The sequence below is a fragment of the Homo sapiens genome, chromosome 15 (genome assembly GCF_000001405.40).
Source record: "Homo sapiens chromosome 15, GRCh38.p14 Primary Assembly".
Lineage (NCBI taxonomy): Eukaryota > Metazoa > Chordata > Mammalia > Primates > Hominidae > Homo > Homo sapiens.
In genome coordinates, this window is record NC_000015.10 from 51,473,787 (window position 1) to 51,486,639 (window position 12,853).

A 12,853-nucleotide genomic window follows, 5' to 3' on the forward strand; every position below is an offset into this window, starting at 1 on the left:
ACAAGGAAAATGGAATAATACTATCACATTGAAGACTAAAGGAACCTATTTTGGAGAATAAAAAAATAGAATTTAAAAACTGTGTGTATGATTGGAATGGCTATCTTGCACATGACCATACATTTAATCTGAAGCCAACTGCTGGTATGCGCTAAAGATTTTGAACACTTACTTAAATTTTCTTCTTTCTGTAATTAAGAACTATCCGTTTTGTTTTTGCTTTTTTTTTTTCATTTTATTGTCTTAGGAACTACTCTTTTTGTATGACTTTGTTCCTTAACATTTTTTCTGTATTTACCTTTACCTTTCCTCTATTTTTAATCTTCTTCAAACATGTCCTGCTTTATCAACCTCAAAAATGTTATTTCTATAAAAATAAAAGTAACAAACTATATGTTTATTATATCATGGGTTTAATTATTTGCTGTCATAACAAGAGTGATTATACTTTAAGCATCGCTTATTTTCAAAGTGAAATTTCTTGAAACATTAAAAAAAATTTTAACATTCAAAATGATTAACATTTACATACATTACTGGTATCAAACGTATCTTACCTGAAATATTTTCTGATTGTCTTCGAGGTTTCACAACAAGTTTTACACCGCCTCCAAAAACAGCAGCCCACATTCGATTATTTAATGGGTGGGCTGCAAGCCGAAATAATTCACTGGAGGAATTTGTGGCAAGAGCATGTATCAATAAACTTAAGTAAACAGCAACAACAGCTTCACATAGCAAAATGTTCAGTTTTGGCTGGTCTTCATCTTGGGCTGAACTCAAAAGATTAATAAGTGAGCTCACACCTATAAGGGTATATAAAATCATAAGACGTATGTCAGGATGAAGCACCAGAAGGAAAAAACATCCAAATTTGCAACTTATCCAAAATTATGCATTTATATTTTACAAAATATTTCCATAATTTGAGCAACAAAATAAACAAGATAGGAATGGATTATAGCCTATAGAATAAAATCATCCATTTGTCTACACTGATATAATAAATGAGTAGATAAACAAAAGGTAAGAAGGGGAAGCTCTTCCTTAAAGTACAATTTCAACTAATACATAAAATGAGTGATAGTGTTAGAAAATCACCAGCTAGTAACCCCACAGTAATACCTGATTCAGGCAAAAATCATCACTAGATGCTAAAATTAGCAAGTGAAAGTATAATATTTTACACAGTCTCAAACTAACTCTTCACAAGATACTGATTAATTACAAAGGAAAAAAAAAGTAACTTTACAATGGAGAAACTTGGCAGAAACCACCTTAACAAGTGATCAAAGTTAACAGCAGCTGGGGCCAAATGACATCATATGCCTCTTGATATCTCCTACTGAGAAAGACACATCTTTTTTGTGGTATCCCTGCCAAAAAATACGTAACCTGAATCCAACATTAAGAAAAAAATCAGGGCTGGGCACGGTGGCTCACACCTGTAATCCCAGCACTTTGGGAGGCCAAGACAGGTGGATCACCTGAGGTCAGGAGTTCGAGACCAGCCTGACCAATATGGTGAAACCCTGTCTTTACTAAAAATACAAAATAATTAGCCGGTCATGGTGTTATGCGTCTATAGTCCCAGCTACTCAGGAGGCTGAGACAGGAGAATTGCTTGAACCCAGGAGGCGGAAGTTGCAGTGAGCCGAGATTGCGCCACTGCACTCCAGCCTGGGCGACAGAGCAAGACTCTGTCTCAAAAAATAAAATAAAATAAATAAACATAAGGAAAGATAGAAAAAAAATCAGAAATGCCCAAATTGAGGGACACTTAAAAAAACAACTGGCTGGTACTCTTCAAAAGTGTCAAAGTTGTGAAAGAGAAAGAAGGAAGACTTTACTCAATATAAGAGGAGACTAATGAGACATGACAACTAAATGTTACATATGGGCCCCCAAAAGCACATTAGTGGGACAACTGGCAAAATTCAAAAAAGGTCTGTAGATTAGAGAACATAAATGTTAAATTGGATAATTATGTGAGAATGTCTGTTTATAGGAAACACACATTGAAATGTTTAGATGGAAAGGGATATCTGGTCTGCAACTTACTCTCAAATTTTTCAAAAAAAATACACTTAGATACACAAACAGCAAGTGAGTGAGAGAGAAGAAATGAATGACAAAGCAAGCATGGTAAAATGTTAACATTTGGGGAATCTGGGTGAAATTTAGTATTATGTTTGCAATTTTTTGCAAGTCTGAAATTATTTTGAAATAAGAGGTTAAAATGAAAACAATGTGTTTCTACAAGGCAATGGTTACAGTAATCTGAAATATACACTTAGGATATTGAAGAGAGTGGAGAAGTTTTGAAACAACTGATGTAGAGAATGAGAAAGAGAGCCAACAAGAAAAAAAGGACTGTCAGACAGCATGATATATGTACCACAGAATAGTCACTCCTACCCCAATACATAAATTTACACGCCCGAGAACAACTAACTGTATTTTCTATGGTATGTCTGTGAAAATATGTCTGTGATTTTCTAAGACTCTAATTTAACATTTCTAAGAAAGATAATGTGCTCCATCCTTATGAAGGATGTTAAGACATTGCTTTTTTATGTTGGTTAACATAGCTGGTTTTATGAAGCCTTAACTTCCTGAGTCTTCAGACAATATTGCAGTACTTAATAGTTCCTAATCCATAGCAGAAAAACATCATCAAAAAACAAAGAAAGAAAGGAACCACTCACTAAATCCAGCAACAAGCAGGAAACTGGTCAGTAGGCTTTTAGGAAGAAATTGCCAACTAGAAGATTTTTTTTTTTTAATCATTTAAATTCTCACCAGGCCATTGAGCAGGAGATGAATTTGGTGTTGCGTGTTCTTCAATGCTTTCTGTCCTTAGTCTTCTACGATCACTTAAAAGAAGTCCTTGATAAGCCATTCCTGTAAACTGATTTCCTTCTGTTTGACTGCTAAAACAAATAGGTTCAGTTATTTATCATCCTGAGAGGTAATAAAAAATTGCACTTTATGTATATCATCTATTTTAGACACCTATTTTAAGAAACAAAAATTCTTAAAATGCATTCACTGTTCTAATAAAAATTTATTTTAGAAAATTACTGAAATTAGTTACAAATGCTTATTGTTTCTTTTAAACAAAGTAACAAATTTTATTATGTTGGGCAGATGACACTTATTCCTTTAGAATTTTTTCCAGATGCCACTTTAATACTTTAAAATCTTTTCTATTTGCAGTAATTTTTATTTTGTGTTTTTACAAAGTCTGAGGTAAGGAGACTACTGCTGGTACTAGGATACAGTAGGCAGAAAGTTTCAGGGACTAGTAGGTTGCATTTCTTTTCTCTGCAAAGTTGTGCAAGTTTAACCCTAAATTAAAGTTATGAACTAAAACCCAGAGAATCACATTTTAGAAATACCTAAACCTAAAACCAAATGTCCCTAAATATTATTTAATAATATTTACTTCCCTCTCTATAATGGCTATCTTTGTGAAGTTGGGGAAAATATAAAAGCGGAAAGTCAAGCTGAGTCTAGTAAATCATAGCCGACCAACTGGAAAATATATATTTAAAAACAATGTATTTGCATTTTCATTTGGTGCCATTTTAATGGTGACTGACATCAAACAAGTTATCTTTGATCATTTAGATGACAACAGTCAACTAAATCAACTTTTTTCCTTATTTACATTTCCAATCTTTGGAGTTATTTAGACACAGCCTAATTAAGTTACAATCAGAGTACAGGCCATTTTGATAGATAATTCTTTACTTGATACCAAATGTTCCCACAAAAGGCTGCTACCATTACAAGAAAGAAAGCCAGAAATATATTTAATATCAATTTAATGTGAATCTACTATTATAAACTTTTCATTTATTAACATTATTCATTTAAATCTAGGTTATCTTTCCAAGTGATTCAATTTCCTGCTACTTACATTGCTCTAGTCATTAAAATGCAAAGTACACACTAATGAAGGCAATTATACATTTAGAAAAATTCAATCCATTTCTTCTAATTGATATCACTTCCAAAGACTTTTACATCATATGTAAATGGGTAGGTAAAAGTAATTTAAATAATTCCATTTTAGGAATGTACTTTTTCATTTTTCAAAAGTATTTTTTATTTCAATGGATAATTAGTTAAATAGCTGCTAATCCAATGCAAAAAGAAATTGTTTCTAAGGAAAAACAATTAGAAAATTTCATATTATAAGTTATTATGGACAGTAAACTCTTCTTTCTTAAAAACAAAAAGGATGGTAATGATGGTAATTTACATTTACTATTTGTTACTTTCTATATTTCTCTGTGACTACTAGGTGACAACTAAACAAATAATTATTTTATTTCTGATTCTCTCGCATGTATTAAAATATCATGGCTGTCATATTTAGGGATTTTTCAGTCCCTAGGAAATAGAAACTTAATATAACTCTGGAACAGTTTAATGTTTTTGCTGTATTAATACTATTTTGGGTGATTTTTTTTTACCTGTAGCTATGACTGTCACATAATGCTTGGTAAATTGATGCAGAAAGTGATGCTGCTAGTGAATGAAGTGTGTGCACCTAAAACCAAAACAGTCACAATTACATTTTGTACTAACATTTCTACACAACAGTAATATTTCAAAAATTAGAAAACATCCAGGAAACCTAGCAACATCATAAATAAGACTGAATCCTAGATGAGACTACTAACTCTGCTTTAAATCTTCTAAAGTAACTGTCACCCACCTTTATACACATGCCACAATAAAGCTGATTGTTTCAGACACATTTTAATCAAACAGTTACTTACTGTGAGCCTGCCGTTTACGAGGCCCTGAGCAAAGTGCTAATGTTCATATTACAGGCATTTGTCCTACCCTAACAATTAGCTTAAATAGTAATATTTAAAAAAAAGCAGAAGAAAATAAGAATAGAATTTTCAGAGTTTTTATTTAAGCTTGCCTCACGAAATTCGCCTTGATGAAAATAAACACTTAATCTTATCAATGAAAATGAATTAAATCTTTTTAGTAAATGTGTCAATCACTGTGTGAAACAGCAGATTTTCCAGAAAGTAATTTACTTGGTACTCATGAATTGAGGACAGTCTTAGAATTTTACATTTAGAAAGTTTTAAATTTCTCCATATAATTAAAAAAAAACCCACCACCCTGAAATGCTATACTGAATCAATATTTTCAGACTCACAAAATCTTTAAATTTGAAGGGACCTTAGAAACAGTTTCATACCTTATACAGATTACTCTTTGAAAGCCTTATCCAAATGTCTAGGAACTAGAAATGTTTACTTTGAATTCATATGCTTTTTATGCCTTTTCTGCGTGTCCCTATTCACCTAACAAATGATTTAAATAATCTCTGCTAAAATACTAATACAGGTTAATTCATAATATGGATGAGAAGTCCCTAATTGGTTATGACCAGGCCTTTAGAAGAATGTGCTGCCAGAGAGTAAATGTGCCTGTCAAACAAAACAAATAAAAAATAAGAAAACAGGGGACCTGAATTGTGCATCAGCCAGTAGAACTGGAAAAAGCATAGCACAAATACACTCAGGCTGGGACAGTGAAAAGTCTGATCAGCTAGCTCCCCAGATCCTGCCAAGCTCCCTAGTGTTTCTTGGACTGTATCAGTTTTTAAGATCTTAGCACAGGGTATCAATATAGTTCGCAGTAGTAACTGCCAAAACTCTGATTGCCTCTAACTATTGCCTCCAATAAACACAACCACCAAGGAAACAGTAATAAGGACACTCTCTCTGGGACCATTTGTGACCAGTCATGCTTCCCTCCCAGATACTCCCCAACTTGTATTTTCATAATATCTTGGCATGTAAACAAATAGTCATATTTCCAACTTAATGGTTCATTTAAGGGGAATGGAGGATCTAAAGGGATATTAAGTAGCAAGAATACTGTCAAGAAAATTAGTTTTATTGCCAAAAGTATTTGTCTGTCTTAAAGGAAGACAATAACTTCTCCAGAAGTAAGAACACTTACTTTTAAATTACATTCATTGGACTAATAGTCTTGAACTGATCATGAGTGAGAAAGGTAGCACTTTGAAATATTTCCCCTAAGTTCGAATTAAAAGACAGGTATAACATATTTACCTTCTCAGGGTGTATAATATCAAATGATCATAAACTTTACATTACCTTCACATCTTCAATACTGGGATGAGGTGGTGTTTTCATCTGAACAATAGTATAAAGTATATCATGGATGTGATTATTTAAGTACAATACAGGATTAGCTATGACTGTTTTTGTTGACGCAATACTTGCTGAAAGCAGAGGTAGGGTGGTAGGCAGTGGTAGTGGAGACTGGAGCTGCTTTACTGTAGTTTCCTGTGGGTGATAGTGAATTATTTTTTTCAAAGTAGTTTAAAAAATTTTATCAGTTCTCTGACAGAAATACTGGTGATAAACATTGTGTAAAGGGAATATGTTCGCTCACTCATTCTACACAAATTTATTGAGCACCCAGTATGTACCAGGTACTATGCTAGATGTAGATGGTATATAGATAAATATGACACAAGAATACTCTCAAGCTGTTAAGCCTACTCCTTATTATCAAAACTTCAGTCTAAGACACATAGAGTATAAATATCTGCCTCCTATAAAGAGAGGAGCTGAACATATTTAGATTAACTAGTAAAAAGTAGTAAAAGAGCTTTATAGCTATAACTGGAAGAGCTACTGAAATTACTGAAATAACCAAGATTGAAAAAAAAGTGATATTCACACCTGTTGTGATTCTTGTAGCAAAAATTTGAGTTCCATCCTTACTGAAGCCAAACCACCACCTTGGGCCCCATGAAGGCTACAGTAGCTGAGAAATACTCTCAGGAGATCTTGGTTTTTCTGCAACCACGACTTTCGTCTTTCTGCATGCTCTCGTTTGGCCTGCAATCTTCTTCTTTCTATTTGATGGCGCTCATAGGAACCAATATCTGGTTTGTCTACCATTTCTTCCTGATCCAGCAGATCACTCTCTACTTTGGAATATGTCTTACTGGAATACTCTTTAATAACTGATTCATGATTACATATCTCATGCAAGGCAGCAATTTCCTTTTCAAGCCAGTTATAGAGTTGAAATCTGAGTTTTCCTCCATCTACTTCATAACCTGTAGCCAATGTTCTTAATTCAGTCATAAGGATCTTTAAACAAGCTCTGAATTTTAGTTGTTCAGCAATCACATCAACTTCAGTATCACCTTCAGGATCATCCTCTTCCTGAGGTGTTAATAACATGTTAGGGTCTGAGGCCTTCTGATCTGATTGTTTATCTTTTTCCCTGGCATCTGTACTTTTCATCACTAAACCAACAGCATCGTCTTCCTCTTCATCTAAGGCACTGTCGTGATCTTCACCCCAATCAAGATTAAGAGGTTCCTCATCAACTTTTACTATTGGCTGACTCCAGTCATACTGTGATGAAGTTACATTTGACCATTCAATGCCAGAACTTCCATTGCCATCACTCAGAGCTTTTGAATGTGAAGGTACATCATCCATCCTGTGAGAAATGAAGTCAGGCTGATCTTTTTTTGCAGATAAGGCAGATGTTTTGGTTACTTTTGGAATTTTGGAGAGTACCTCCAAGGCTAAAACAGGGCATCCAACTTTAAAATGAGCATTTGCAGTGGTAAAGAATAATTTTCTTTCTATGAGGTTAATTTTATCAACAAAGTTCTTCTCAGTTTTGAGACCTAAGGTTGCCAAAGTTCCTTCAGGGGAGGCAAGATTTCTTCGAATGAGCAAAGGATGAGTTCGAAGGTAGTTATAAAAACTAAATGCCACCGGGTTACAAGACTTGATGATAACTATAGAAATCAAACAGATAAAATCACAAAGCATTGTGTTAATATGTATTTACATTACAAAACAATAAAATACGTCAGCATTTCTTCAAAAAAACAACATGTAAATATTAACCTACGATAGGTTACACTATGGCATATACAATCATTACAACTGTACAGCTGAAATAGAAAGAATTTCCCAATATGCTACGGAGTGATTCCCATCACTATAGAGTGATGTCCAGGATACACTAAGAAAAAGAAGATGCAGAAAGTACATGTAGTAAGCTACCTTTTATCTATCTAAGACAGTGAAGAGGAAATACAAATACACACTCATGCATATTGGCTTATCATTTTTAAATGGAAGACAAACACAAAAAATTTTAATTGATTCCTTAAAAGGGGAGAGCAAAACAGGGAAAAAAAGAGCTAGATTTCTCTGAAAATACACTGGTTTTATATATTTTATTTTAACACCATGTCAACATTTTACATAATTTTAAAATAAAACCAAATCTAAACCACAATTCACAAAAGGCAAAATTAAACAAATCAGTCTATCAAGTTGGTAGCATAATCACACAGAGATGAACTCTAAAAAGTGAGTTAAAAACAAGTAATTTGACTGTACATCCTTAGCAGAATGTACCATAAAACAAAAAAATTCTGCAAAAAAGCTTAAATTATGTTCAGAATCATGTTATTATAAAAATATCTATATTATTATTCTGAAACTTATATGCACATAGATAGCAAATAACTATGTTCATGCCATGAGAATCCAAACATTTCATTATAAGACACAAACTTAACATCTAAGAAGAAAGAACCCTATAATCTATATGTGCATGAGAAATAGCAGGGTAAACTCCTAAATTCTAAGGAAAAAAAATTTCCTAATTCCATTCATTGCAATAGTCTAGAAATTATGACAAGATTAGTACCAATGAGGATCCTGGTGCCCAAACTATAGTTTCTAAATATTATTCCCCACTAAAAGGAAGCAGAATGCTTTGGAGGAATGGTCATTTCCAGGTCTGGGGCAGGAAATGTACAAGATGACCCTTAAACATTTTGTAGTACCAGAAAGCAAGAAAACTATCAAGAAATAATGCCAGAAGAATTCAGAAACCTGAAGAAGTTCCCATTTGTGAAAGAACAATCTGAGCATCCATAAAAATAAACCAAGAGAATGATGCCAGCAAGATGGCTGCTAGACACACCTGGCATTCATCCTCCGAAAAGAAAGGACCAAGGCAATGAATAAACAGCTAAGATTTGACTGGAGTGTCAAAGGGAGAGCACTAGAGTGCAGCAGGGGAGTGGAGATGCACCTGTGGTGACTGCAAGTCTAGGAGAGCAGTGTGGAGGTACCCGGCCTCTGCAGCCCTATCTCCCCCACCCAGACTGGATCTGCCCACAGTCAGGAAGAACTTCTCATTGCAGAGGGGAAAAGGTAAACAGAAGATCCCCATCAGCCCTCATGGCCACCACAAACATCTACAGTCCTTACAACAGAAGAATCCCATAGTACTTGCAAGCCCTGTGTCCAGTTTGGAGAGACGTCAGAAGTTCACGCAACGGCACTGACCCAGATTAGGAGCATAAGGTGTGTGCCCTCCACCTACCGCCAGTGAGCCAAGCTGCTGCAGCACAAGCACTATCTTGAGACCAGTCACCTCTGGCATGCGCACTGCTCTGGGGGCCAGGAGTCACTGTACCTCTCCAACACTGGGGACCCGTCTTCATTCCAAGCCTACATGGGTAGCTGAATGCTACAATCCCAGCTATGCAGAGCCTAGGACCATGACTGGCTATGACTTTGGTCCTGCATGGCAGGGAAATCAACCCCTACCATCACACTTTTGGTCAGAGAAACAATCTGGCAGTCTTGCCCAGGGTGAACCTGCCCTTGAGCCAGCCAAACCACTACATACATACCCTCCCCCAAATGGGAGAGGTCTCCAAGCCTACGAGCAGCTGATATGCCCCCAGGCCAGCAAAGCAGCTACATGCCCACACTCAGGACCTCAGAAACAGCGTGCAGCGCCCCTGCTCCCTGCACTCAGAGTTCTGGCCTGCCAAAGGCCCTGCGCCTGCAATCAACGCCTGAGAAATAGTCCTTCGAGCCGCCCCTGGCAGCACACCACCAGGCCAGCCAAGCAGCCAAGAGCCCACTTCCACGGCCCTGTGGGCTATCCCTGGTGGACACATCCCAGCCTGGTCAAACAGCCCTGCAGGCTGCTCCCAGTGTGCACACCCCTTAGCCAGCTGAACAGCCTTGCACCAGTCTCAGACCTGAGAAATAGCCCCATGAGCCCCTAACAGAAACGCCCCCATGCCAGCTGAGCAGCCTTATGCCCACACCTCAGGCCTGAGGAGCAGCCTCACTGCCACCCCAGCTAACATAGTACCAGACCAGCTGAGCAGCCCTGCACCTGCATCACAGGTATACAAATAACCCATGGGCAACACCTGCAGAAACACCCCCAGGCCAGCTGAGCAGCCATGCAATCGTGTCATGGGCCTGAGAAATAGCCTTATCCCCACCCCTAACAGACAAAACCCCAGGCCAGCTGAGTAGCCGTGAGGCCACATATGAGCCCTGTGGGCTGCTTCTGGCAGGCACACCTCCAGGCTGGCCAAGTGACCATGTACCCACACTCCTGGCCAGAGTAACAGACCTGTGGCCCCAATCCCAGCCAACCAGACCCTAAGCTGGCTGACCCATTGTGTGCACATATGCACCCCAACCTGAAAAACTGCCCAGCGAGCCCACCTGGCAAAGCTACATGGCCATCACCGCAAACTCTTTCAGCCTAGGCAACTGAGAGGATTGCAAATGCCACTAATGTGGATTACAGGTGAAGAAGCTACATGGAGACTACACTACTGTATCCATCTAACCAATGCACTCCACCAAACCAACACCTCAGGACCTATTCATAGTAACAAGTCTTTCCCTATGAAACCTACTCCATAAAATTAGAAGAGGCAACTTTTTCTGCCAGATACATAGAAATCAATGTAGAAACACACCAACCATGAGAAAGCAAGGAAATATGACACCAAAGGAAAAGAATGGAAAGGAAAATACTAATTCTCCAGTAACAGACCTTAGTCACAAGGAAACATGAAATGCCAGAAAAATAATTCTTAAGGAAATCATAGTCTTAAGGAAACTCATTCAGATACAAAAGAATACAGATATACAACTAAATGAAATCAGGCAAAGAATACATGATGTGAATTTGAAATTCACCAAGGAGATAGATATCATACAAAAGAACCAAACAGAAATACTAGAGCTAAAAAATTCAATGAATGAAATAAAAAATATAATCAAGAGCTTCAACAACAGACTAGATCGAGCAGAAGAAAGAATTTCTGAACTTGAAAACAGGTCTTTTGAAATAACTCAGGCAAACCAAAAAAAAAAAAAAAAAGGAAGAAGGAGGAACAGAAAAAAAAGAATGAAGAAAGCCTACAGGATTTATGGGACACTATTAAGTAAACAAATATTCATATTATGGGCATTCCAGAAGAAGAAGAAAAGGGAAAAGGTGAGGAAAACACATTTAATAAAGTAACAGCCCAAAATTCCCAAGTCTTGGGAAAGAGATAGGCATCTAGGTCCAGGGTGTTCAAATACTCCCAAATAGATTCAACCTAAAAAGATCCTCTCCAAGGCACATGGTCAAGTTGTCAAAAGTCAAAGACAAGGATCTCCTCATTTTTATTCCCAAAAGGTAGCCAGTGACCAATGACCAGTATTTCATTTCTTATGATTTGTTTCAGGAAACAACCAAAGGAAATGGAGGAGGCAGACATAACATGTGTGCACATTCAGGTGCATGTTTGTACAACATACATATGCCAAATGCAACAAGAACCACACTGCTGTGCATCTTACTTTTTTTCACTTAAAAATACAGCACATATTAACATATGTATCTACCTCAATTTTTAATGACACACTGTTTCTATATGTGGATATATTAAAACGTATTTAACTATTCTATTGACAAAAACTTAAAATGTTCCATTCCTTTCAAATTATTGAAAACAATGCTGATAAATATCCTTTAAGTGCTTGTAATATCTAAATTATTTAGGATAACAAGGAAAAAAGAAAATTTACCACAGAGGCATAAAGTTTTTCCAGGCCCATGTGACAAACCAATACGTGTAACAGCCAAAATTTCCATTTAAAAAAAATGGCTATATGATTATGTAAAAAGAGCTACAGAATGTGGCAAACATTTTGTATGCTTGTTAAATATATACGTAATTAGAATAGGATGGTAATCCTATCTAATCCTTTAGACACACAAGAAATTTTAATAATAAATTCTCAAAGTTGAAAAGCAAATCTGGTAATGATTTTTCTTAATCTAAGTGAACATTAGTTCAGAAAGTATCTCTTCCTTTAAAAAAGAAAAAAAAGAAATCCACAAAACGTCCTACCTTGATGTTCATCATCCTCCTTTGGTGTTTGTTCCAGTAATGTGTCCAAGGCTCGGGTGTAATCTTTCATTACCCAATAGGCAAGACTACGCAGGAAAGGATCAGGATGTAATCTTTTGCAACTGAATCCTGAGCCATCCTTTTGGCAACCCAAAATCTTCTGATTTAGGATGGATATATAAGTGGATGAAGTCTCAAATTCAGATTCATATAAACGGGCAATAACCATGGCTAGCTGAATATCTTCCATTTTTTCAAGACATACCTGCAAATTTAAATATTAATACTTATCTTACTTAATGATAATTATTTAGAGAGATGAAATATCCCATCAATACCCTGAAATTATCTACCATTTATATCCTAATGGTGGGCGAAGGGACAGTGAAGGGTAGTTAAATGATTGATAGGAGATTAAAGAATAGCAAAAAGAGTAACAGGTTGGAACCCAGTAGCTTCCAAACTAGACAGATCATTTATAAAATAAGCATGAAACAAAGTATATTAATATCATCTCAGACTTAAGATCAACTTAAATAACATTCATTTTTAAATTAAATACTATAT

General features: G+C 36.2%; 1 protein-coding gene across 21 annotated transcripts in view; it reads right to left on the reverse strand.

Moving 5' to 3' along the window:
* Nucleotides 1-12,853, reverse strand: part of DMXL2 (Dmx like 2) — a 174,981-nt gene that overhangs the window by 25,996 nt on the left and 136,132 nt on the right. For 13 of the 21 annotated variants that reach the window (NR_165649.1, XR_007064435.1, NM_001378459.1 and 10 more), the window contains exons 23-28: nucleotides 12,287-12,551; nucleotides 6,756-7,837; nucleotides 6,162-6,353; nucleotides 4,485-4,561; nucleotides 2,803-2,933; nucleotides 558-806 (exon numbers count right to left, since the gene is read on the reverse strand). Coding sequence is in view for 18 of the 21 variants with exons in the window: in NM_001378459.1 (NP_001365388.1) it covers nucleotides 558-806; nucleotides 2,803-2,933; nucleotides 4,485-4,561; nucleotides 6,162-6,353; nucleotides 6,756-7,837; nucleotides 12,287-12,551 (1,996 nt within the window). In the remaining 3 variants the exon portion in view is untranslated. The remainder of the gene's footprint in view (nucleotides 1-557; nucleotides 807-2,802; nucleotides 2,934-4,484; nucleotides 4,562-6,161; nucleotides 6,354-6,755; nucleotides 7,838-12,286; nucleotides 12,552-12,853) is intronic. The other 8 variants (NR_165648.1, NM_001378460.1, NM_001174117.3 and 5 more) reach the window with 1 other exon arrangement.